The sequence below is a fragment of the Homo sapiens genome, chromosome 8, assembly GCF_000001405.40.
Source record: "Homo sapiens chromosome 8, GRCh38.p14 Primary Assembly".
Taxonomy (NCBI): domain Eukaryota; kingdom Metazoa; phylum Chordata; class Mammalia; order Primates; family Hominidae; genus Homo; species Homo sapiens.
In genome coordinates, this window is record NC_000008.11 from 123,459,338 (window position 1) to 123,482,320 (window position 22,983).

The following is a 22,983-nucleotide window of genomic DNA, read 5'->3' on the forward strand; positions in this document are numbered from 1 at the left end:
GGTGCACCACCCTCCCAGCACATGGACGTGTTCTGCTATCCGGAAGCTCTCTGAACCCCATAGTTCAGTACTTCGGCTTCATCAGGTAGGCATGATGGAAGATTAATTCAGTCTCTAGCCCTTCCCCATCTCTAAAGAATGGAGGATGGGGCTGAAAGCTCCAAGCTTCTAATCATTGCTTAGTCTTTCCAGTGAGCAGCCCCTGTCCAGGAGCTCACCAAGAGTCCCCTTATTAGAAAAAAAGATGTTCCTCAGAAAAATTCCAAGGGATTCAGGAACTCTAAGTCAGGTGTTCCTATTACTCAGGAAATCAAAGGTTTAAGAGCTCTGTCTCAGGTACCTGGGGCAGAGACCCAATAATTCCAACAAAAGTTTCTCCTAGAACCCCTATTGCTCAGGAAATCACAAGGGTTTTCGAAGCTCTGTGCCAGGAACTTGGGGTGGAGACCAATATACATCATTCTTTTTTTTTTTTTTTTTTTTGAGATGGAGTTTCACTCATTGCCCAGGCTGGAGTGCAATGGCACGATCTCAGCTCACCGCAACCTCCGCCTCCTGGTTCAAGCGATTCTCCTGCCTCAGCCTCCCAAGTAGCTGGGATTACAGGAATGCGCCACCATGCCTGGGTAATTTTGTATTTTTAGTGGAGACGGGGTTTCTCCATGTTGATCAGTCTGGTCTCGAACTCCCAACCTCAGGTAATCCGCCTGCCTCGGCCCCCCAAAGGGCTGGGATTACAGGCATGAGCCACTGCGCCCAGCCCAATGTACGTGATTTTTATTTCACAGCAGATATCTCTTGATTTCTTTAAAAAAAAAATCTTAAATAGTACCTTGAGAGAACCCCTAATGACAGATAATATGTATGGAGTACTCATTTTGTGCCAGGCACTGCTCAAAACTACTTATTGGGCATGAAATTATTAGTCCTTACAATAACCTTATGAAGTAGGAATGATTATTATCCTTATTTTTCAGATGAAGAAATGGGAGTGGGCAACTTGCCCAAAGTAGCACAGTTAATATGTAAAGGAATGTGATTTGAACCTGGGCCTGACTCCAGAATCACTACACCATAAAGTGGAGATTCAGTCACACTGGAATAAATCCAAAGGCAAAATGAGGGCATTGCTTCTTGTGCTGGTCTTGGGTCTAAGGAGGGGCATATTGCAGAGGTGAGAGCCAAGGGGAAAAGATGGAGTGGGCTGTCTGTGGCACACGGGATGTCTTTACTACTGGACAGCCTTGAACCACAAGATGTGATGTAGGGCTGAATCTTGTAGGAAAAAAGCGGTCAGGGTAAGCTCTTCAACATCAGATGTGAGAAGACCAGCGTTTTGCAGTGTCCTTTGGCTGTGGTGGACAGGTTTGGGCTGGCAGAAGGGTCAGTGGAGACCAGCTGGGGGAGACCTGCATGCAGTGGCAGGGGGTTGGGAGTGAAATGAGGGAAGAATGGACTTGGTAGGTTTGGTTTGACGACGTAGTGGAGTTTGTATTGGCTGAACGTTGCAAAGGAAGCAAGGAGAGAATAATAACATGCGCCAGCATCCAGAGATGAGTTGAGGAGGCGTGCCGTCTGACTTCTACATTCAGGCACATTTCACACTTCTGTCAGGTACTCTGCTCTGAGCTTTTGGAATCTTTCTTTCATGTATTCCTCCGTACAGTGTTTGCAGGTGGTGTATGGATGCTGTCAATCCCTGCTTTCCATAGGCACCCTCCTTACTATTCCTTGCCTAAGTGACCTAACACACTTGGTCCTGGCTTGGGCAGGCGGGAAGCATGGAGTTAATACATTCTGGAGCAGCCTTCAGCCCTGATGGGTGGGAGTAGGTGGATAAGTGGCTTAGCTTTCTTGCTCCTTGGAGGGTACAACTCTGGGCTAGACGCTGCACCATCTCCCAGGGTCCCCAGCAGCCTTGGTCCCCAGCTGCCCACAACAGCCTATCCTCTTGGCACCTGCTCAGTGACCTGGCTGGCTTCCTTGTTCCTTGACTCACGTCCCCACTCCCTACTGGTGTTTCCTAGGATCACCTACCAAATAAACAACTTCTACCGAATTTCCTGTCTCAAGGCATGCATTGGGGAAACTCAACCCAATGCAGTTTCCAGATGATAATATCTACACCCCGAGAGGTTATTTCACTTGCTCAAGCTCACATATCCAGTATGTAACAAATCTAGGACTTTAGCCCAGCTTTCCTTAGCCCCAGCCTGGTGTTGTCTTCTGCTCTACCATGCTTAGTATCTGCTATAATGACACCCTAGGTCCTTTCACATGTTGGGCTTTCCTGCAGGAGTCTGGCCTATTAGACCATAAACTCATAAAAAGCAGAACTATGACCTTGATAACTTTGTATATTCAAGAACAGCAGGAACTGTGTCTTTCAGCGAGTAGATGCTTAATAAGGATTTATTGAAAGGAAAGGAGATAGAGCAAGAGGAAGTATGTGAGGGGAAGAGGAGATGGGAGCATGAAATTGGGGCAGAGGAGAGAGACTCTTGTGCTCCTTCTTGACATGGGGCACAAGAGTGACTTGCTTTGGAGGAGGCTATGGCTAGAGTGTCACAGGCAAAAGCCCAGGAGGCCCACGGGTGAGCAGAAAATTACAGAACTTAAAAAATCATTTTTCTTGGAAATAATGTGTGAGACAGGGAAATCTAGTGAAAAAATATTTTTCAGTGCATGTATCCCTAAAAGGGAGGTTTTCTTTTTAAAAATTTTTTTTAAGACAGTCTCGCTGTGTCACCCAGGCTGGAGTGCAGTGGCGTGATCTCAGCTCACTACAACCTCCTCCTCCCAGGTTCAAGCGATTCTCATGCCTTAGCCTCCCGAGTAGCTGGGACTACAGGTGCATGCCACCACGCCTGGCTAATTTTTTTGTATTTTTAGTATAGAAAGGGTTTCATCATGCTCTCCAGGTTGGTCTTGAACTCCTGACCTCTTGTGATCTGCCTGCCTCAGCTTCCCAAAGTGTTGGGATTACAGGCATGAGCCACCGTGCTGGGCCTGTGTTTTGTTTTTAATATGAGATTAGTTATTATAACTTTGTAGAAAGAACATTGGGTGGATTTTCTCAGCAGAGTTAAGTCTACAACTCAGATACTCTAGGGCAGTAGTTTTTGAAGTACACAAGGCACTAGGACTTCTAAGGCACTCTCTTAGAAGCCTCCTCAAAAAGAAGGAGATGATAATAATTGATTACTACTTATTGAATTCTAATTAGACCATGTGCCAAGCCCCATGCTAAGTCTTGGTCTGTGTTATCTCATTTAATCCTCTTTGATATGAGTCCTGTTATCATTCCCACTTCACAGATTACGAAGCGGACACTCAAAGAGGTCCCCCAGCTAGTAAGTGGCCAAAGTGGGATTCATTTGACTGTTTGACTCCAGAGCTCATGCATTCATGGGCATGGCTACAGGTACCCTTCTCTTCACTCCTTCCCCAAGCATGCCCCCAATTCACCAGAATTGAAACTCAAGATTTTGACACCATAGAGAGCAAACTGGGGAACAGGAACTACACTGTTGGTTAGGACTTGGGAGAAGATAAATTAAAAAGTCTGACACTTTGATCACGTTCTGTAAAAGTCTTGGGGCTTTGCTTTCCCACTGTGAAGGGCATTTTGAAATACATCTTAATGAATGCATTCTGCTCTCTTGGTACACCAGGGGGAGCATTTAGTACAGGAATGGGAATACGGTGGCTCCAGGAAGTGACTATTCCTGCTCTTTGTAGGGAAGAACACTTTTTCTTTCTCTCTTTCTCACTGAAAAACACATTTTTCTGTTTGAACAGTTTGAAAGCAAGTTGCAGATATCATGAGACTTCACCTATAAATACTTCAGAAGGATTTCCTAAGAAAGATATTCTTCTGCTTTATGATGATATTATTATCACGTCTAAGAAACTTAACATTGATGCAACAATGATGTCTAATATGTGGTCTGTATTCAAACTTCTCCAGATATCCCCAAGATGTTCTTTATTGCTTTTTTTGGTTTCAATCCAAAATAAATTTTGTGTTCTCTTAATATTAGATCACAGTTATTCTTCTGGAATATTTTGCTGTGAAATGCTTATACTTTTTACCGTCTATTGAATAACTCATAAAGTTGATTTGCCATGCTTTATTAAGTTTCTCTTTGATTGATATTGTTTATTCCTATTATAAGTATACCATGATGTTAAGTGGGACTTCCCATTTCTCAGTTTTGACTCAGGCACCAATTAAATAGATATCAGAATCCAAAGTGAGTGTGAGATTGACGTGGTATACAGAATTCATCAAGTGTCACAGGTTAGGTTCCTCGTAAAAGGCTCTTGATGGACATTTGTATGGAGGCAGTTTATTGGGGGAGTGTTTGGGGCTCAGCAGCTAAGGGGGAAGAAAGGAAGCAGGATGAGACACAGGGAGGTGTTGAACTGTGATGCAATCCCTACTCAGCCAATCCCCAGAGACCTCTAGAGCTGGGATGGTGATATTTGGTTGTGTCCCCACCCAAATCTCATCTTGAATTGTAGCTGCCATAATTCCTACTTGTCGTGGGAGGGACCTGGTGGGAGGTAATTGAATCATGGGGGCATGTCTTTCCTGTGCTGTTCTCATGATAGTGAATACATCTCACGAGATCTGATGGTTTTATAAAGGGGACTCCCCCGCACATGCTGTCTTGCCTGCCGCCATGTTAAGACGTGACTTTGCTTTTCCTTCACCTTCCACCATGATTGTGAGGCCTCCCTAGCCATGTGGAACTGTGAATCCATTAAACCTCTTTCCTTTATAAATTATCCTGTCTCAGGTATGTGTTTATTAGCAGTGTGAGAACAGACTAATAGAGATGGTCTTGCAGAGTTGTTCCCTTCTGGAGCAAGGAGGCTGGGTCTTTATACCCCTAAAGGGACCAGTCAATGGATGCAGGTTGCCCCTGGGACAGAGATGTGATCACGGTAACTCCCTTCAGCTTAGAGCAATTTTCAGAGAGACTTGGAATAGAAATGAGGGCCTGAAGGGGATATTTGGGCAGGGACCACAGCATCCATAACAGCAGGGAAATGCTCGTGAACATGTTGCCTAACCCTGGATGCCCTCAGACTGAATACACGAGAGGTCAGAGTGGCAGCGGCATGAGGAGGAGGAAGGGTAGAGAGACGCCACTGGAGAGAGCATTGCCAGGCTGTGCCTCCACTCTCCCTCCCCAGGGGTAAGGGCCAGGAGTGCTACCACCTTCACCTCAAGGGTACGATGGGGGCTCTGATAGGACCACATATTTAACTTACATATTTCCTATGGTTGAGAAATATGTAACTGGCTAGAGTGGCCTGTGGCAGCAGGACACAGAGGGCTGGGTTTGGTCCTGTGTTCCCAGGGTTTGTTGGGGCAAGAGATGAGAGAGTGTTTCCTGGGACTTAAATGTGGGCCCTTGGCTGGGCACTGTGGCTCACGCCTGTAATCTCAGCACTTTGGGAGGCGGATCACTTGAGGTCAGGAGTTCGAGACCAGCCTGGCCAACATAGTGAAACCCTGTCTCTACTAAAAATATAAAAATTAGCTGGGTGTGGTATCATGCGCCTGTAATCCTAGCTACTTGGAAGGCTGAGGCACGAGAATCACTTGAACCTGGGAGATGGAGGTTGCAGTGAGCCCAGATCACACCACTGCACTCCTGCCTGGGCAACAGAGACAGATTCTGTCTCAGGAAAAAAAAGTGTGGGCCCCAGGGGAGAGACGATACTGAGCCAGAGCCATTTTTAAAACCCTTTTATTTTGAACGAATTTAAGACTCAGAAGAAATTGCAAAAATAAAAGGGAGTTCCATGTACCCTTCATCTGGCTTTCCCCATTGATAATGTAGAACCACCGTACATTTTCAAAACTAGGAAATTGACATTGACATTGACACAATACTGTGAACTAAACTATAGACCTTGATTTTCATGAATTTTGACATGCTCTTGTGTGTGCATGTGTATAAACAGTACTGTGAAATCTTGTCACACATATAGATATGTGTAATCACTACCAAAACAAGGACACCGTCACCAGCTTCCGTCACTGCAGAGAAACTCCCTCATACTAAAGCTTTGTAGTCAGGCCCTCCTGCCAACCCTAACCCCTGGCGACCACTCATCTGTTCTCTATCACCAGAATTTTGTCATTTTAAGAGTGTTCTGTAAATGGAATTGTATAGTACGTACCCTTTTGAGATTGCTTTTTTCACTCAGCATAACATCTTTTTTTTTTTTTTTTTTTTTTTTTGAGACAGAGTCTTGCTCTGTCACTCAGGCTGGAGTGCAGTGGCACGATCTTGGCTCACTGCAAACTTTGCCTCCTGGGTTCAAGCAATTCTTGTGCCTCAGCTTCCTGAGTAGCTGGGATTACAGGCGCCCGCCACCATGCCAGGCTAATTTTTGTGTTTTCAGTAGAGATGGGGTTTCACCATGTTGCCCAGGCTGGTCTCGGAACTCCAGGGCTCAAGCGATCCACCCACCTCGGCCTCCCAAAGTGTTGGGATTACAGGTGTGAGCCACTGCACCCAGCCAGCATGACATCTTTGAGTTCCATCCATATTGTTGCCTGTGTCAGTAGTTCATTCTTTCTCTATAACTTAGAGTTGTATTCTGTTGTATACCCATTCACAGTTTGTCATTCTGCATGAAAGTCATTTTAAATCCTGTCCAAGAGGACCCTCTGGGAGGGTGAGAGGAAGCCAAAGAGTGAAGTCTGAGTGGACGGGATTGCCAGAGAACCAGGGGCTGAGGGCAATAGCAGCTGGAATGGAATGCTTCTCCCTTGTTCTGAGAATTACAACTGGAGAGGTTCCCAGAGATGGGAATCACCAAAGATCCCAAGAAAAGTGCCCCAAGTGAGAGGCAGCTTTATATAGCTGCAAAGCCCAGTGAGCAGGAAGTCAGCTTACAACTGTGCCACTCAGAAGCCAATTAAAGTAGCTCCAGACATAACCACTTACCTCTTTGCCGTCTGTCCATTTGGGCATGGGATCCAAGCCAGTAGCTAGTGAGTGGAGGAGGATTATGGCGCATGGTGCAAGACAGAAGAAAATGACTACTTTCCCCTCACCTCCCTGGGAACTGCCAGCTCTCGCAAAGAAGGGGAAGAAATCTTTTGAGTGAAAATGGAATTGTTGATGAATAGAATGAACTGACTCACTGAATTACTCTAGTAAGACCATGTTTGTGACTTGATGTGACCATCAGACTGTCATTACTTGAAAGTGACACAGCAGGCAGGAGCCTGCAATTGTTTTCATCTGGAGTGAGGACAAGATTCTTTTCTCCTGCTGCCCCTCCTCCCTTTTCCCCCCTGGCAAACTGTATACATGGATGTGCAAATATCTCTTTGAGATCTTGTTTTCAGTTCTTTTGGATATATACCAAGGAATGGGATTGCTGGTCATATAATTGCTGGTAATTCTAGTTTTAATTTTTTGAGGAACCTCCATTCTGTTTTCCATGGGCGATACCATTTTACAGTAAAGGGATGATGGAAGAAAAACAATAAAGTGGCATTTTGATTATGTTACCCTATCAGTTACATAAATAACTTGGAAATAAACATCTTCTATATATAAGTTCTTTTTTTAATAGTATAATTTTCCTTAGAGCAAATTCCTGAGCATGGTATTAATAGGTCAAAGGACCAGGAAATGTTTGTGGTTCTTGAAACATATTCCAAATTGCTTTTCTTTCTTTCTTTTTCCTTTTTTTTTTTTCTCAGTCTGTTGTCCAGGCTGGAGTGCAGTTGCGTGATCCCGGCTCACTGCAAGCTCCGCCTCCTGGGTTCAAGTGATCCTCAGCCTCCCTCAGCTGGAACTACAGGCATGCACCACCATGCCCGGCTAATTTTTGTATTTTTAGTGAGATGGGGTTCCGCCATGTTGGTGAAGCTAGTGTTGAACTCCTGGCCTCAAGTGATCGACCTGCCTTGGCCTCCTAAACTGCTGGGATTACAGGAATGAGCCACTGCGCCCGGCCGCCAAATTGCTTTTCTAAATGTTTGTGCCAACTTACATTCCCACCAGATATTGTATGAAGGTTTTATCACATATTCAATGGCATGAGATAGTGTTATGAGATTGTTAATGTAATGGGATTTAAGTACCATTTTGATGTTTGAAATAATTTTTAAAGTGTTTTCATAAAATAATTCTTGCATTAAGTGTTTTATCAATGTCTTTAAGCTTGGCTTTAGTATCTTGAGTATAGAATGTAGCTGAGGGTCTGATTTCATAAATTAATTACTGGCCATTCATATCCAGGTTCCAGAGGGTTCCTTGGAGCAGTTAGAACCAGACCAAATCCTGTAGAATTGTGAGCAAGGAAGAAAGGGAGAGGCAAGGGCCAGAGGAGCAGTGAATATGAGAGACAGGTTCAAGGTATCTATTTTTATTTTATTTGTTTATTTAGAGATGGAGTTTTGCTCTTGTTGCCCAGGCTGAAGTGCAATGGCACGGTCTCGGCTCACTGCAACCTCTGCCTCCCGGGTTCAAGCGATTCTCCTGCCTCAGCCTCCCAAGTAGCTAGGGTCACAGGCGCCAGCCACCACTCCCCGCTAATTTTGTATTTTTAGTAGAGACAGGGTTTGCCATGTTGGTCAGGCTGGTCTCGAACTCCTGACCTCAAGTGATCCACCCGCCTTCACCTCCCAAAGTGCTGGAGGTTCAGGATCTCTAAATGAGAGGTAAACAAACTGAAGCAGGAGGCCAGATCAAGGAGATGCCCACCATGATGTCAGGAGGTGAGTTGGGAAAGGGCCTCAGGAGATAGGGATTCTTGCGTGGCCCCCAAAGGGGGTAGTGGGGTAGGGAATAAGCTTCCTCCTACCCTAAGCACCAATAAATTCAAAACTTTATTTATGTATTTATCTATTTATGGTAAAAATATAACATAAAACTCACTATCTTAAAGTGTACAGTAGTGTTAAGTATATTTGCATCATCATGCCACAGATCTCCAGAAGTTTTCATCTTGCAAATGGAAACTCTGTACTCATCAAACAACTCCCCATTTTCCTCTCTCCATATCCCCCCACTAACTGCCATTCTACTTTCTGTTTCTATCAGTTTAACTACTTTAGATACCTCGTATACGTGGAATCATAAAGCATTTATCTGCATTATTTTACTTAGCTTAATGTCCTCCAGTTTCATTCATGTTATAGTGTATGATAGGATTTTCTTATTTTGAAGGACTGAATAATATTCCATTGTATGTATATATCACATTTGCTTTATCATTTTTTCCATCACTGAACATTTAGGTTCCATCCACCTCTTGGCTATTGTGAATAATACTGCAAGCGACATAGATGTGCAAATATCTCTGTGAGATCTTGTTTTCAGTTCTTTTGGATATATATCAAGGAATGGGATTGCTGGTCATATAGTTGCTGGTAATTCTATTTTTAATTTTTTGAGGAACCTCCATTCTGTTTTCCATGGGCTCTACCATTTTACATTCCACAAACAGTGCACAAGTGTTTTAATTTCTTTATGTCTTTACCAGCAAGCACTTGTTATACAGTCTCCCTTCTTTCTTTTCATAGTGGGCATCCTAATGGGAGTGAGGTGATATCTCCTTGTGGTTTTCAGTTGCATTTTTCTGATGATTAGTAATGCGAACATCTTTTCATGTGCTTGTTGGCCATTTGTATATCACTTTTGGAGACATGTCTGTTCAAGTACTTTGCCCGTTTTTTAATTGGGTTATTTGATTTTTGTTGTTGAGTTGAGGGAATTCTTTATATATTCTAGATATTAGTCCCTTCTCAGATGTATTATATGAGCATATTTTCTTCAATTCCATAAGTTGCCTTTTCACTATATTGATTGTATCTTTTGGTGCACAAAAGTTTTTAAGTTTGATATAATTCCATTTGTCTACTTTTGCTTTTTGTTGCCTATGCATTTAGTGTCATACCAAGAAATCATTGGAAATATGTTTTTTCATTTGTTTAAGCCTGTAGGAGGAAATACGGTTTGAGTGAACTTTAACATCTTGGAAAAGTAAGCCTTGGTCAAGCTTACAGACAAGAGACTAGGCTGGTTATTCATCCTGTGAAACAGCCCTACAAATTTACCTACACCATGGAATCCAAGATCCCACTGATAATGTGAACTTACTCCTTTTTGTTTGTCTTCTCCCTTCTAATGTTAATTTTTTTAACTGCAGGAAAAATAACAAAATAACAGAATTCTTCTTTTATAAGATAGATTTGGGAGCATGTACTGATCTTTTGAGTGAGGTGGAGAGGTCAAAATAAAAATACTAAAATGTGAATAAAACTTTGAGACTTAGATGGAGACCTAGTTAAACCTTTTCTTCAAATGCCATCAATGCCAAAGAGCAGCAGTTGTTTTACTAATTCATTCACCAAAAGTGATTATCAAACGTCTACTATGTTCTGGGCACTAACTAGCCAAGGCAATATAGGTGTGTATAAGAGGCAAGTCTCTGCTGTCTGTGAGTCTATGCAGAATCTCGTCTTCCGTTAGAAGCATCAACAAACATGTATTGCCTGCCCTCCCTCTGCTAGAAGTTTGGGGAGACATGTTATGGACTAAATGTTTGTGTCCCCCAAAATGTACATGTTGAAGCCTTAACGCCCAATGTGATGGTATTTGGAAGTGAGGCTTTTGGGAGGTAATTAGATATAAATGAGGTCATGAAGGTGTGGTCCCCATGATGGGATTAGTGGCCTTATAAGAAAAGAGACAAGAGAGGTTCTTCTCTTTTTCTGCCACATGAGGACACAGTAAGAAGGCAGCTATCTACAAGCCAAGAAGAGGGTCCTCACTAGGAACTGAAGCCTGCTGGACCTTGATTTTGAAATTTCCAGGCTTCAGAGCTGGGATTCCTGTGTTTAAGCCACCACCCAGTCTATGGTATTTTGTATGGCAGCCGAAACAGACTAATACAAGGCATAAGGGACAGTGAGATGCTGTTCATCCTCTCAAGGGTTCGTGAACTTGTTACCGTGGCCTCCGCAGTCCCTGTGTTCACTTATCTTTGCTAAGGGCAAATCACTGATGAGATGGACGCATTTTATAACTGGAGAATAAAAGGGATGAGGCCCTACAGGCTGAGGGTTACAACCAGGTGTCTGAAGGAGTCAGTGTCCCAAAGAGTGAGAATAGTGGAGTGTGTAAGTGGAGAATAACCAGGTAGGTGCTTAAAAGTGAACCTGTGTTGACTGTATTCACTTATTTCATAAGACAACTTTTGGAGGCCAGACACACCACCTTTAAAAAGTAATTGTATAAGTGTCCTAGTGCTGTGCATGAAGTCCCATAAACTGGGTGCTTTTTAAACACCCAGTTGTTTTTACAATAGAAGTTTATTTTCCCACAGTTCTGGAGGCTGGAAGTCCAAAATCAAGGTGTCATCAAGCCTATGCTTCATTTGAAAACTAGAGGGGAGAATCCTTTCTTGCCTCTTTTAGCTTCTGGTGTTTGGTGGTAATCCTTGGTGTTTCTTGGCTTGTAGATGCTTCACTCCCATCCCTGCCTCCAAAGTCATATCGTCATCCTCTCCCTGTGTGTTTCTCCTTCCTTTTTTCTTTTTTTTTTTTCTTTTTTTGAGACAGGATAGCACGCTGTTGCTCAGGCTGGAGTGCAGTGGCATGATCATAGCTCACTGCAACCTTGACTTCCTGGGCTCAGGTGATCCTCCTGCCTCAGCCTCCCAAGTAGCTGGGACTACAGGCATGCACCACCATGCCTGGCAAATTAAAAAAAGATTTTTTTTTTTTGGTAGAGACGGGGTCTTGTTATGTTGCCCAGGCTGGTCTCGAACTGCTGGGCTCAATCAGTCCTCCTGCCTTGGCCTCCCAAAGTGCTGAGATTACTGGTGTGAGCCACCATGCCTTGCCTCTGCTTCCTCTTATAAGGACATCAGTCATACCAGGTTAAAGGCTCACTCTACTCCACTGTGACCTCATCTCAAATAAACTAATTACATCTGCAACAACATGATTTCCAAGTAAGGTCACATTCTGTGGTACTGGGTATTAGGACTTTGTTGTAGTCAGGGTTCTCCAGAGAAACAGAGCCAATAGGATGGTTCCGTCTCTATAGATAGAAATAAATTTATTATAAGGAGTTGGCTCACATGATTATGGAGGCTGGAAAGTCCCAAGATCTGCATAGTGAATCAACAAGCTGGAGACCCAGTGGTTTAGTTCCAGGCTATGTCCAAAGACCTGAGATCCAGGAGAGCTAATGGTATAGTTTCAGTCTGAAGTCCAGCAGGCTTGAGACCCAGGGAGAGCTGATGTTTCAGTTCAAGTACAAAGACAGGAAAAAATTAATGTCCCAGCTCAAAGGCAGTCAAGGAGAAACTCTCTCTTACTCAAGGGAGAATGAGCTTTTTATTCTATTTAGACCTTCAATGATTGGATGAGGGCCACCCACATTAGGGAGGGTAATCTGGTTTACTCTGTCTACCAATATAAGTGTTACTCTCATCCAAAAACACTCTCACACAAACCCCCAGGATAATGTTTGATTAAATATCTGGGCACCCCATGACCCAGTTAAGTTGACACGTAAAATTAACCATCACACTTTAAAATATCTTTTTGGGAAGCACAATTCAACCCATAAAAGTAATAATCATGCCTAGAGAACTTTTTTAGTTGAAGAGATAGAAAGTTTAATTCAAATCTGTACCTGTTGCTTTGTACTGTTATTTGATAGGGGTCTTACCCCACTCCTATCCATCAAGGCTGGCAGAGGCTATTTTCCAGGATTTTAGGGTTGCTGGCAGCTGGGCAGTGACTCAGGAGAGTTGTGAGTGGGGACAGAAAGGAAGGAAGTATGCCAAACAGTGCTAAAAAATATCCAAAGCTAAGAAATGTGTAATTAGCCCTGACCTCCTTTGCCCTTCCTCCTTACTAAAGCAGAGTGGGTGAAATGGCTCATGGGTTATTAATTGCCCTCTGCTGGTCACTTTACAGGCATGGCTTCCCATTTGCTTACTTTATTTTCTAGGGATGTCAGCAAATTACCACAAACTTGATGACTTAAAGCAACAGTAATATATTGTCTCATAGTTCTGGAAGTTAGAAGTCTAAAATCAAGGTGTCACAGGGTCCATGCTCCATCTGAAGTTGTCCAGGGACTGAAGTGTCCAATCCTTCCTTGCCTATCCCTAGTTTCTGGTGGTTCCTGGCAATCCTGGTGTTCCTTGGCTTGCAGCTGGCTCCCCACAATATCTGCCTCCATTTTACATGGCCTTCCCTCTGTTTCTCTGTGTGCCCTCTCTTATAAAAACAGCAGTCATTGGATTTAAGGTCCACCATAATCCAGCATGACTTTATTTTAAGTTAATTACATTTGCAGAAACCCTGTTTCCAAACATGTCACATTCTAAAGTTCTGGATAGACATGCATTTTGAGGGAGATGCTATTCAACCCCCTATACTAAAACTCTTTTTCTGTGGAAGAGAAAGAGGCAGGGAGAGTAACTTGTCCAGATCACTGTTAAGTGGTTGAGCTGAGCTTTCATGTGTACTCATTAGCCAAAGTGTCTTCCTTCTTCCCCTCTGCCCTCTTCCCTCTTTCCTTTCATCGCCTATTTTCTTATCCAAGGATGCCCTGGATATTAGTTTACCTTCATTTGAATGGAGAAAAATGCCCATTGTTAACTGTTAACTGTTGGGGTGAGGGGATGGGAAGGTGTTCAGTGGAAGGTCTCTCAATCTCCTTGAGAGTTAGTTTACTTTTTTTGCAAAAATGGAGAAAATGAAACTTGTCTCATTTGGTGGTTGCATGTATTATTAAATCACATACAACCGATCACAAAATCAATGTGTAAGAAAGTGTCTGGGAAAATCTTCCAAGGCATACAGCCCTGAGGGACTTTTGTAGAAAATCATTTAGAAAGTAAGGCATCCATTACTCACCTAGGGTATTAATTAATTTGTATTCTTGAAATTCTTTTTTTTTTTTTTTGAGATGGAGTCTTGCTCTGTTGCTTAGGCTGGAGTGCAGTGGCGCGATCTTGGCTCACTGCAACTTCCGTGCCCTGGGCTCAACCAATTCTCCTGCCTCAGCCTCCCAAGTAACTGGGACTACAGGCACATGCCACCACACCTGGCTAATTTTTGTATTTTTAGTAGAGACGGTTTCACCATGTTGCCTAGGCTGGTCTCGAACTCCTGACCTCAACTGATCTGGCCTTGGCTTCCCAACGTGCTGGGATTATAGGCATGAGCCACCATGCCCGGCCTGTATTTTTGAATTTCTACATTGTTGACATGCCTTGAAGTCTTAGACGATGAGCAAGAAACAGAAATCATGTAGCACATATATTCAACATTCCCACGTAATTTTAGGTTTCTATTTGGTCTCTTTCAAGCGGTAAGTAATTTACTTTGATCTTCTCTGCTAGGTTATAACAAAAGTTGACATTGTAGCTCTGCCACTCACTAGAAATATCATCTTGTTTATGTTATTTAACTTTATGACCTCTAATTGTGAAGGTTAAAGGAAAGAGCACATATAAAAGCTCCTGGTACATTATGGTTAGTCAGGAAGTAAAAGTTTTTTTTTTAAATTGCATTGTTATTATTATTACTGTTATTATTAATATCATTGGTATGCAAGACACTGAGTTATACATATTTGACTTGTGAACATATTTGTTATTTTAAAAATTGAAATAATTTGTCTTAAAAAAGTTACAAAAATAGTACAGACAATTCCCATATATTTCGTCACCCAGCTTCCCCTACTGTTTAACATCTTACATAAGCACAGTATGATGATCAACACTGGGAAATTAACATTGCTACAATACTATTAAGTAAACTATAGATTTGACTTGAATTTGCAGGTTTTCCCATTAACGGTTTTTTCTGATCCAGGATCCAAACCTTGATCTCCAATTGAACTTAGTTATGAGAAGGAGACAAACTTAGTCTTTTATAACTTAGTTTTTCCTTGTCTTTCATGATTTTGACACTTCTGAGGAAAGCTGGTCAGTAACCTTGTAGAATGCCCTCCAATTTGGCTTTGTCTGTATTTTCTCTGATTAAATTGAGATAATACAATTTTGGCAAGAATACCTCAGAAGTAATGTTGTGTCCTTTCTCATACACCATATCCAGAAGTACACAATGCTAGTATATATTATTACTGGTGAAATTAACATTGATCTCTGGGTTAAAGTGGTGTCTTCCAGGTTTCTCCACTAAATTACCATTTTTCCCTCAGTGACTAACAGATATCTTGGGGAAATACTTTAAAACTACGCAAATATTGCCAGGCGTGGTGGCGTATGCCTGTAATCCTAGCACTGTGGGAGGCCAAGGTGGGCGGATCACTTGAGGTCAGGAGTTCGAGACCAGCCTGGCCAACATGGTGAAACCTTGTCTCTACCAAAAAGTGGTGGTGTGCGCCTATAATCCCAGCTACTTGGGAGGCTGAGGCAGGAGAATAGCTTGAACCCAGGAGGAGGAGGTTGCAGTGAGCCGAGATCCTGCCATTGCACTCTAGCCTGGGGGATAAGAGCAAAACTCTGTCTCAAAACAAAAACAAAAACAAAACTATGCAAATATCCTGTTTCTTGTACCTTCACCCACTAGTTTTAGCATCTATGGATGATTCTTGCCTGCCACAATTATTACTATGGCATTTGCCTATTAGTGATTTTCTGTTTCCTTCATTTCTTCTCTATTAATAGGAATTCTTCTCTAAGAGAGAGTTATTCTCCTCCCTCATTTATTTTTTTATATCAATATGGGCTGATGAATATTTATTTTATTTTATGGGTTATAATCGAACACTGTCATTATTTATTTTGTTGCTCCAGTGGTTCCAGCTCTGGGCATTAGGAGCTTAAACAGGTTGGCTCCTGTATCCTTTCAACATGCCTCATTATTTTTAGTGCTTTCTTGCTTTTTGATGCTTACTTTTTAATCTAGGCTCATCTTGTACTTTCTTTGCCCCAACCATGGAATTGATCTTTTCTCCAAAGAACTCTGATTCCTTTTATTGGAAAATGGACTTAGGAACCAAGATCTTGGCATTGAGTAGTCTCATTGCTACTGGGGTTTCATTGCTTCTGCGTCCTCTCAGTGGACAGAGTTTGGAAATATATGCAGGTATGCTAACACACATACATATGTTTATATTTGTAAATTATAAAATTGTATAATTTTAAATTTCTGTATTATAAAATTATACATATGTTATAAATCTATGTTTATTTCAACATATATCTGTATAACTATTAAGGACCACAATGAATACATTCAAAGGTAAATGTGTGAATATCTCTAAGGCATACTTCTACTTATCTCCTAATAATAAAGAGAGTAGGTCCATTACACTATTGCAGAGTCATTAGTACTTGTTTACTTTCAAGTTTTATGTTGTAATTCAGATAGCTGAGGTTGTCAGAGAAGAGACCTAGCCTTATGTAATTCTGGAACCAGAAAAAGAAATCATGGAACTATCCAATTCATGTTTCCTAAACTGGTGTTCCATGGAATACTATTTTAGGAGTTGTTAATAGCATTATCCTGATCAAAGGGTTTTGCGGTTCCATAAGTTTGGGAAACAGCATTGTAGATCCTCCACACTTGTGTGACACTGCCAATGGATTATTTTATTTATATGTTTATTTATTTTTAGGGATGGGGTCTTGCCAGGTTGCCCAGGCTGGCCTCAAACTCCTGGGCCCAAGCAGTCCTCCCACTTCAGTCTCCTGAGTTGCGAGATTACAGGTGTGAGACACCATGCCCAGCATGCCTATGGATTATTAAAGGAGTTTTTAAAAATTTGTTTTCCAGGCTGGGTGCAGTGGCTCACAGTGGTAATCCCAGCACTTTGGGAGGCTGAGGCAGGTGGATCGTTTCAGTCCAGGAGTTTGAGACCAGCCTGGGCAACATGGCAAAAACCTGTCTCTAAAAAAATACAAAAGAAGTTAGCTGTGTCCACTCCTGTAGTCTCAGCTACTCAGGAGGCTGAGGTGGGAGGATTGCTTGAGTCTTGGAGGGAGGGGTTGTAGCAAGCTGAGATCACAGCACTGCATTCCAGCCTGGGCAACAGAGTGAGACCCTGTCTCAAAAAATTTTTTTTTTTTTTTTTTTTTTTACAGAGTAATTCTGTGTTCAAAACAAAATACTTGTCTAATAATTTTATGGAGGCAGAAGATAGAAAAAAAGAAAAAGTAAAATCAAATCTGTATGCATTTTCTGTTGCACAAATTTATTTAAGGTTAAATGTTGGTATGTGCAATAACCTGAAAAGTTTCAAGTACTATAATTGTGATCAGATTTTTTGTTTGGATAGGCTGCCATAAGCTTGTCTTCAAGTGGCTTTTAAAACCTAAATTGCATTAGCTTTACAAGGGGCAAATATATTCTTTAGAAAAAAGGTGTTCTCTATTCCTGCCATTGAAATATTGCTTCACAAAACTTATGGCACAACTAACAAAAAAGGTAAAAAATCCTATTTCAAAGTAGTCATTTTGTGGACAAAGGTAGAAACCTATAATCTTTCCTCCACCACAGCATTTCATATTTAAACCTTCTATTTTTAACCTGATGGTGGGATTCATGGCTAATGCTTATGAGATCTGTGTCTAGACAGTTGAGAAAAACAGGAAATGAGTTACATTGTCCTAGTAACCTTTTGTTTTCTAGCTCCAAGCTGTGCTTGCTTTAAAAAAATATTCCTTCTCTCCTGAGAATTTCAGGGAATTTAAGGAACTATAATAATCCAAGGCCTCTTCAGGGAGCAGAGATAGCTGTTTTGGTGGAAAAGGAAATGAGAACATGAGTTTACTATGCTTGGACCATAAAAGTGAATGCAGCCATTCTAAGAACATGTTTGCTGTCCTCTTCTGATTGCAAACGTGCTCCCAGCTATCTCTGACTGTGTGATCCTAAAGGGCAGGAACTCATTCTCCCTCTGTGCTGGACACATTGATGCTTTAGGACATAAAATGACCCTCAGAAGAGCAAGTTAAGAAGAGACAGCTGACATTTATGGAACACTTTTCTATGTGTCAGGCACTGAGCTAAGCACATTACATGCATTATCTTATTTAATCCTCAGAGCAATCATTCCTAAGGTGTGTTTACTACTATTGCCCCCATTATTTTTTTTTTCTTGAAACAGGGTCTCTCTCTGTCACCCAGGCTGGAGTGCAATGGCATGATCTTGTCTCACTGCAACCTCTTCCTCCCAGGTTCAAACCATTCTTGTGCCACAGTCTCCCGAGTAGCTGGGATTACAGGCATGCACCAGCACGCCTACCTTTTTTTTTTTTTTTTTTTTTTTTGGTATTTTTAGTAGAGACAGGGTTTCATCATGTTGGCCAGGCTGTTCTTAAACTCATGAGCTCGTGATCTGCCCACCTTGGCCTCCCAAAATGCTATGATTATAGGTGTGAGCCAGTGCGCCCAGCCTATTGCCCCCATTTTACAGATGAAGAAATGAAAGCACAGAGAAGGTAAGGAATTTGCAACAGTAGCATAACTGGCATTTGAACCCAAATCAGTATGATTTTATAACCTATGTTCTTACTTGGTATGCTATACCCTTGTAGGGCTGTTGTGAAGATTACAGGACACAACGTAATGTATGTAACAAACTTATCAAAGGCCCAGGTCCATGATAAGCATCACAATTAATTCCAGGTATTATTTACATGTGTAAGCAAAATAATGCTGGTTTTTCATATAAGTAGGTGATGCTACTCATCCTCTTGACGTATTAATAAGACACGCAGCACTTAATGCTCTTAAGTATCTAATTATTTGAAAAGAATTGAATAGCAGTAGTGATGATTGGTGCTAAATATATTTATATTATGCAGCATTTCAGTGAGGCTGAAGATACAATAATGGTGACAGTTGATTGGGTTAGAGAGTTTGTAAACAAGTAAAGGAAACTGGTCTACACTGAGATAAAGTCTGCAATGTTGACCGTATTAACCATTGCTTCATAGAGTCTATAAAATGACCATATAACGTATGTAACAAATATTGCACCAAATGCCTGCTTTCTCAGACTCAAAGCCTGTAGGGACACAATATTAGGTAAGACTTAATCCTTTTGCTCATGGAATTTACAGTCTAGTAGAGAATTAAAAATAAAAAGAAATCTTTGCAAATTATGATAAGTGCCACCAAGAAAATAATCAAAGAGTTAAGATACAGAGTAATGGAGTTGGGACATGGGGAGGAGGGTCTGGATCCTACTTTGTATGGGGTAGTAAAGAAAGGCTTCCTGTAGTAGGTGACATTTAAGACCAGATGATGGGAAAGAACCTAGGAAGAGGGAACAACACACACAAAAGCTCTGAGGTGGGGAAGAGCTTGACAAGTTCGAGGAGCTGGAGGATTGTTACCCATATAATGGTTGGGTTCAGTTGCTTGGTGGGTGAACATCTTTACAGATGAAGAAATGAAAGTACAGACAAGGAATTTGCAAGAGTAGCAACTGACATTTGAACCTAAATCAATATGATTCCATATAACATATGTTCTTAGTTGGTATGCTATACCCTTGTAGGGCTATTGTGAACCCAGTGACCACAATGAAGGAGAATGTAACAATGGGGTTTTAGTACTTGCAACAAGTAAGAACACTGGGGACAGTTCCCAAAGTAGTGTCTCCTGGAATGAAGGTGAAAGCAGGGCTTTTATTGTGCCACTGGCTGAGTCATTGCATATAAAGGTGGGGTAAAGGTAGTGCAGGTGCAGGCGCAGATTCTGCTTCTTCACACATGGCATGTATTGAAAATGGTAAATAGAAAAATATCGACAGGCTCAGGGAAAATGCTGGCTTCAGTCCCGAGTGGCTACAATGCCTCTTTAATAAATTCCAGTCTTCTTTATGGAATCGGTTAACCCCTTTATTAAGCCCTCTCTTGCTTTTATGTCTTGTATTGATATTTGGACCCTGCATACACAATACTATAACTCAAATTGTTTCTTCTCTCCTAGAAGGAATCAATTTCCAAATAGTGCTGTAAACTGAACCACACATGGACACGCCATTCTTCCGAGGACCCTTAGATCGGCCCCAGGAGGAGCCCTAGCTGCTGTTCCCCATTCGATGCCCTTTTTCAGCAGGAAGTAGCCAGAAGGAGTCATTGCCCAAAACCCCCTAACAGCAGTTAGTGTGGCTTCTCCGCAGGGGGGGATGTCATAGGAGTTACTAAGAAATTATTTTAGGCAGATAGAGAGGAAAAGGGGTCCTTGGGAAGTTTTCGTTTTTTAAAGCATCCCCAGAAAAGTTTCTTGTAAAGCTGCGGCTCCTAGAGCCAGGTCGGCAACCTTTGATATGCAAATGCAAGCCATTAGAAACTGAGTCCGCCCAAACATGGCGATTCCCGCAGGCCTTCTTGCCCTTTCCCCACAGGTTCCTGGCAACATGGCCGCCCCCACGTATCCCCACGTGTGTAGAACATCATGGTGCCCTGCATTTGCATATTAAAAGGCTAGGGTGGGAGGACCAGCTTTTTTGAGGGCTGTGTGAACGACATGCCCAGTCAAACCCATCCCCTGAGCCCTATGCAAATCAGACACCGCCTCCTCCAGCCTCTGTATATATACCTAGCTGGTATCTGTGGCAGGTGGGGTTCCCTCTATCGGCTTTGGAGCCTCCCTCCCTCTGTCTCTGTACAGGGGAGCTTCTTACTTCTCCCTTCCTTCTTGCCCTTTCTTGCCTATTAAATTCTCCGCTCCTTAAAAAAAAGAAAATGAAAATGGAGAATAAGCTCCTCCCTGGATGGGCTTTTTAGTATGGTAATGCTGAGAGCTCACCAAAATTCATCTCTAACTGAGGCATCTGTCTTCCAGCTGGTTTTGGTTTTGCTATAGCTGGGCTTCTTCCTGGAACAACGGAAGCTCAAGGCACAACAGTTACAAGTGGTTACCCTATCACAGCGTAACCACAAAGACCAGGGACCCTGGGTTACAGGATGAGTGTGGCTGGAGCCTAACAGGATAAGAGGAGACTGGAACCAGATCATGCAGGGTCTTTGTGGCTCTTGATAAGAAATTGGGTTTTATTCCAAGTTTAATAGAAACTCTCCAAAAGGTCCTGAATAGGTGAGTGCCATGATCTGATTTGCTTCCATGCGGAGAAAGGACTAGATGGAATAAGAAGGTTGTTGGACCTCCTTGTGCAAAAAATGATGGTGGCTTGGATGAAGCGGCAGCTATGGAGGGAAAGAAGCTGACAGATTGACAGATTTGGGAATTGGCAAGACTTGATCCATGAGGATTGGATGTGCAGGATGAGGGAGAGGGGAGAAATTAAGGTGACTCAGATTTTAATTTGGGGAAATACCATCTCATGGGTATTAAAGTAAACAAATACATAAACTTATTACTATCTTAGTCAGTTTTTGTTAGGTTTTGCTCCAGTAACACATAACCCTCAATTCTCTGTGATTTATACAGCAAAATCTTATTTTCCATTTGTGTTATTTGTCCACTGTGAGTCCACTGTGGCTTTTCAATTGGGATCCAGGCTGAAGAAATAGCCCCTGTCTAGGACACACCAATCTATGGCACATGAGAAGAGCTGCTGTGGAACCATGCAATAGCTCTTAAAACATCTACTCAATGTGACACATGTCATTTCTGCTTGCATTACATTGGCAGAAGTAAGTTACACGTCAGAGATGTCAATGGGGCAAGGAAGAATTATTCTTTTACACAAAGGGATAATCATTTGGAACCATAATATAAAATACCCCAATTTCAAATGCTGTTACGGTGCTCACCCCCAGGACATGGCTTGTTAGGTTAGAAACTAAGGAAGTGGTGCTACATGTCAGGGATTTTTATATGCCTTACCTAAGGAAAGAAAGATGATATGCAGAATTTGGAAATGAATATTTTGTGGATTTTCTCAAATAGAAGAAAATAGCTTATTTATTTATTTATTCATTTATGACAGTGTCTTGCTCTGTCACCCAGGCTGGAGTGCAGTGGCATGATCTCGGCTCACTGCAACCTCCGCCTCCTGGGTTCAAGCGATTCTCCTGCCTTAGCCTCCCAAGTACCTGGGGCTACAGGCATGCGCCACCATGCCCAGCTAATTTTTGTATTTTTAGTAGAGACGGGATTTCACCATGTTGGCCAGGATGGTCTCGATCTCTTGACCTCACGATCCACCCGCCTCGGCCTCCCAAAGTGCTGGGATTGCAGGCGTGAGCCACGGTTTTTTTTTTTTTTAACAATTATTTTTTAACATGTCATCCATTTATAAGATATCAAGATCTAAAATTACAAAAGGGGCCGGGTGCGGTGGCTCACACCTGTAATCCCAGCACTTTAGGAGACCGAAGCGGGTGGATCACCTGAGGTCAGGAGTTTGAGACCAGCCTGAGCAACATGGTGAAACCCCATCTCTACTAAAACTACAAAAATTAGCTGGGCATGGTGGTGGGTGCCTGTAATCCTAGCTGCTCAGGAAGCTGAGGCAGGAGAATTGCTTGAACCCGGGAGGCAGAGATTGCAGTGAGCTGACATCACGCCATTGCACTCCAGCCTGGGTGACAGAGTGAGGCTCCATCTCAAAAATAAATAAATAAATAAAATAAAATAAAATTGCAAAAGGGTATACAGTGACTACTTCCTACTTCTGTGCCCATCAACCAGTAACCCTCCTGTATGCAACACAAGGTGTGTGGGACCTTGGAAGCTGGTGGAAGAGGGCATCTTGGGGAAGAAGGAGTGGTACAGGTGGTCAAGTATTTCCAAGAGGGAAAATTAATGTACATACTTAGAGAAGCTATGATCATGAAAGGCCACCATAAATTCAAGAATAAATTCATACCAAAAGAACCTCATTGCTTTTTAAATTTATTGTGTTACTGTGTAAGACTACTTAGAAAGGAGAGTGCCCATCACTTCTCGGCCTTCTGGCTAAGATCAAGTGTAGAAAGCAGAAAGCCCTGAATGAAGTGTGTCTTGATTTCATTATAGCA

At 42.2% G+C, this 22,983-nt stretch overlaps 1 protein-coding gene across 10 annotated transcripts in view, besides 2 other annotated features; it reads left to right on the forward strand.

Annotated features, from left to right (window-relative positions):
- Positions 1-16,359, forward strand: part of NTAQ1 (N-terminal glutamine amidase 1) — a 58,972-nt gene extending 42,613 nt beyond the window's left edge. For 2 of the 10 annotated variants that reach the window (XR_007060742.1, XR_007060738.1), the window contains exon 8: positions 6,646-16,359. The gene's annotated coding sequence lies outside the window, so the exon portion shown is untranslated. Of the gene's footprint in view, positions 1-977; positions 4,137-6,645 lie in introns of those variants that run through there. The other 8 variants (XR_002956636.2, XR_007060736.1, XR_002956635.2 and 5 more) reach the window with 5 other exon arrangements.
- Positions 19,863-20,363: an enhancer, noted in NCBI's record as "OCT4-NANOG-H3K27ac hESC enhancer chr8:124491440-124491940 (GRCh37/hg19 assembly coordinates)". NCBI's record gives its function as "activates a minimal SCP1, AML or CMV promoter by ChIP-STARR-seq in naive H9 embryonic stem cells {active_cell/tissue: H9 hESC(naive)}" and the evidence as "EXISTENCE:reporter gene assay evidence [ECO:0000049][PMID:30033119]".
- Positions 20,364-20,864: an enhancer, noted in NCBI's record as "OCT4-NANOG-H3K27ac hESC enhancer chr8:124491941-124492441 (GRCh37/hg19 assembly coordinates)". NCBI's record gives its function as "activates a minimal SCP1, AML or CMV promoter by ChIP-STARR-seq in naive and primed H9 embryonic stem cells {active_cell/tissue: H9 hESC(naive and primed)}" and the evidence as "EXISTENCE:reporter gene assay evidence [ECO:0000049][PMID:30033119]".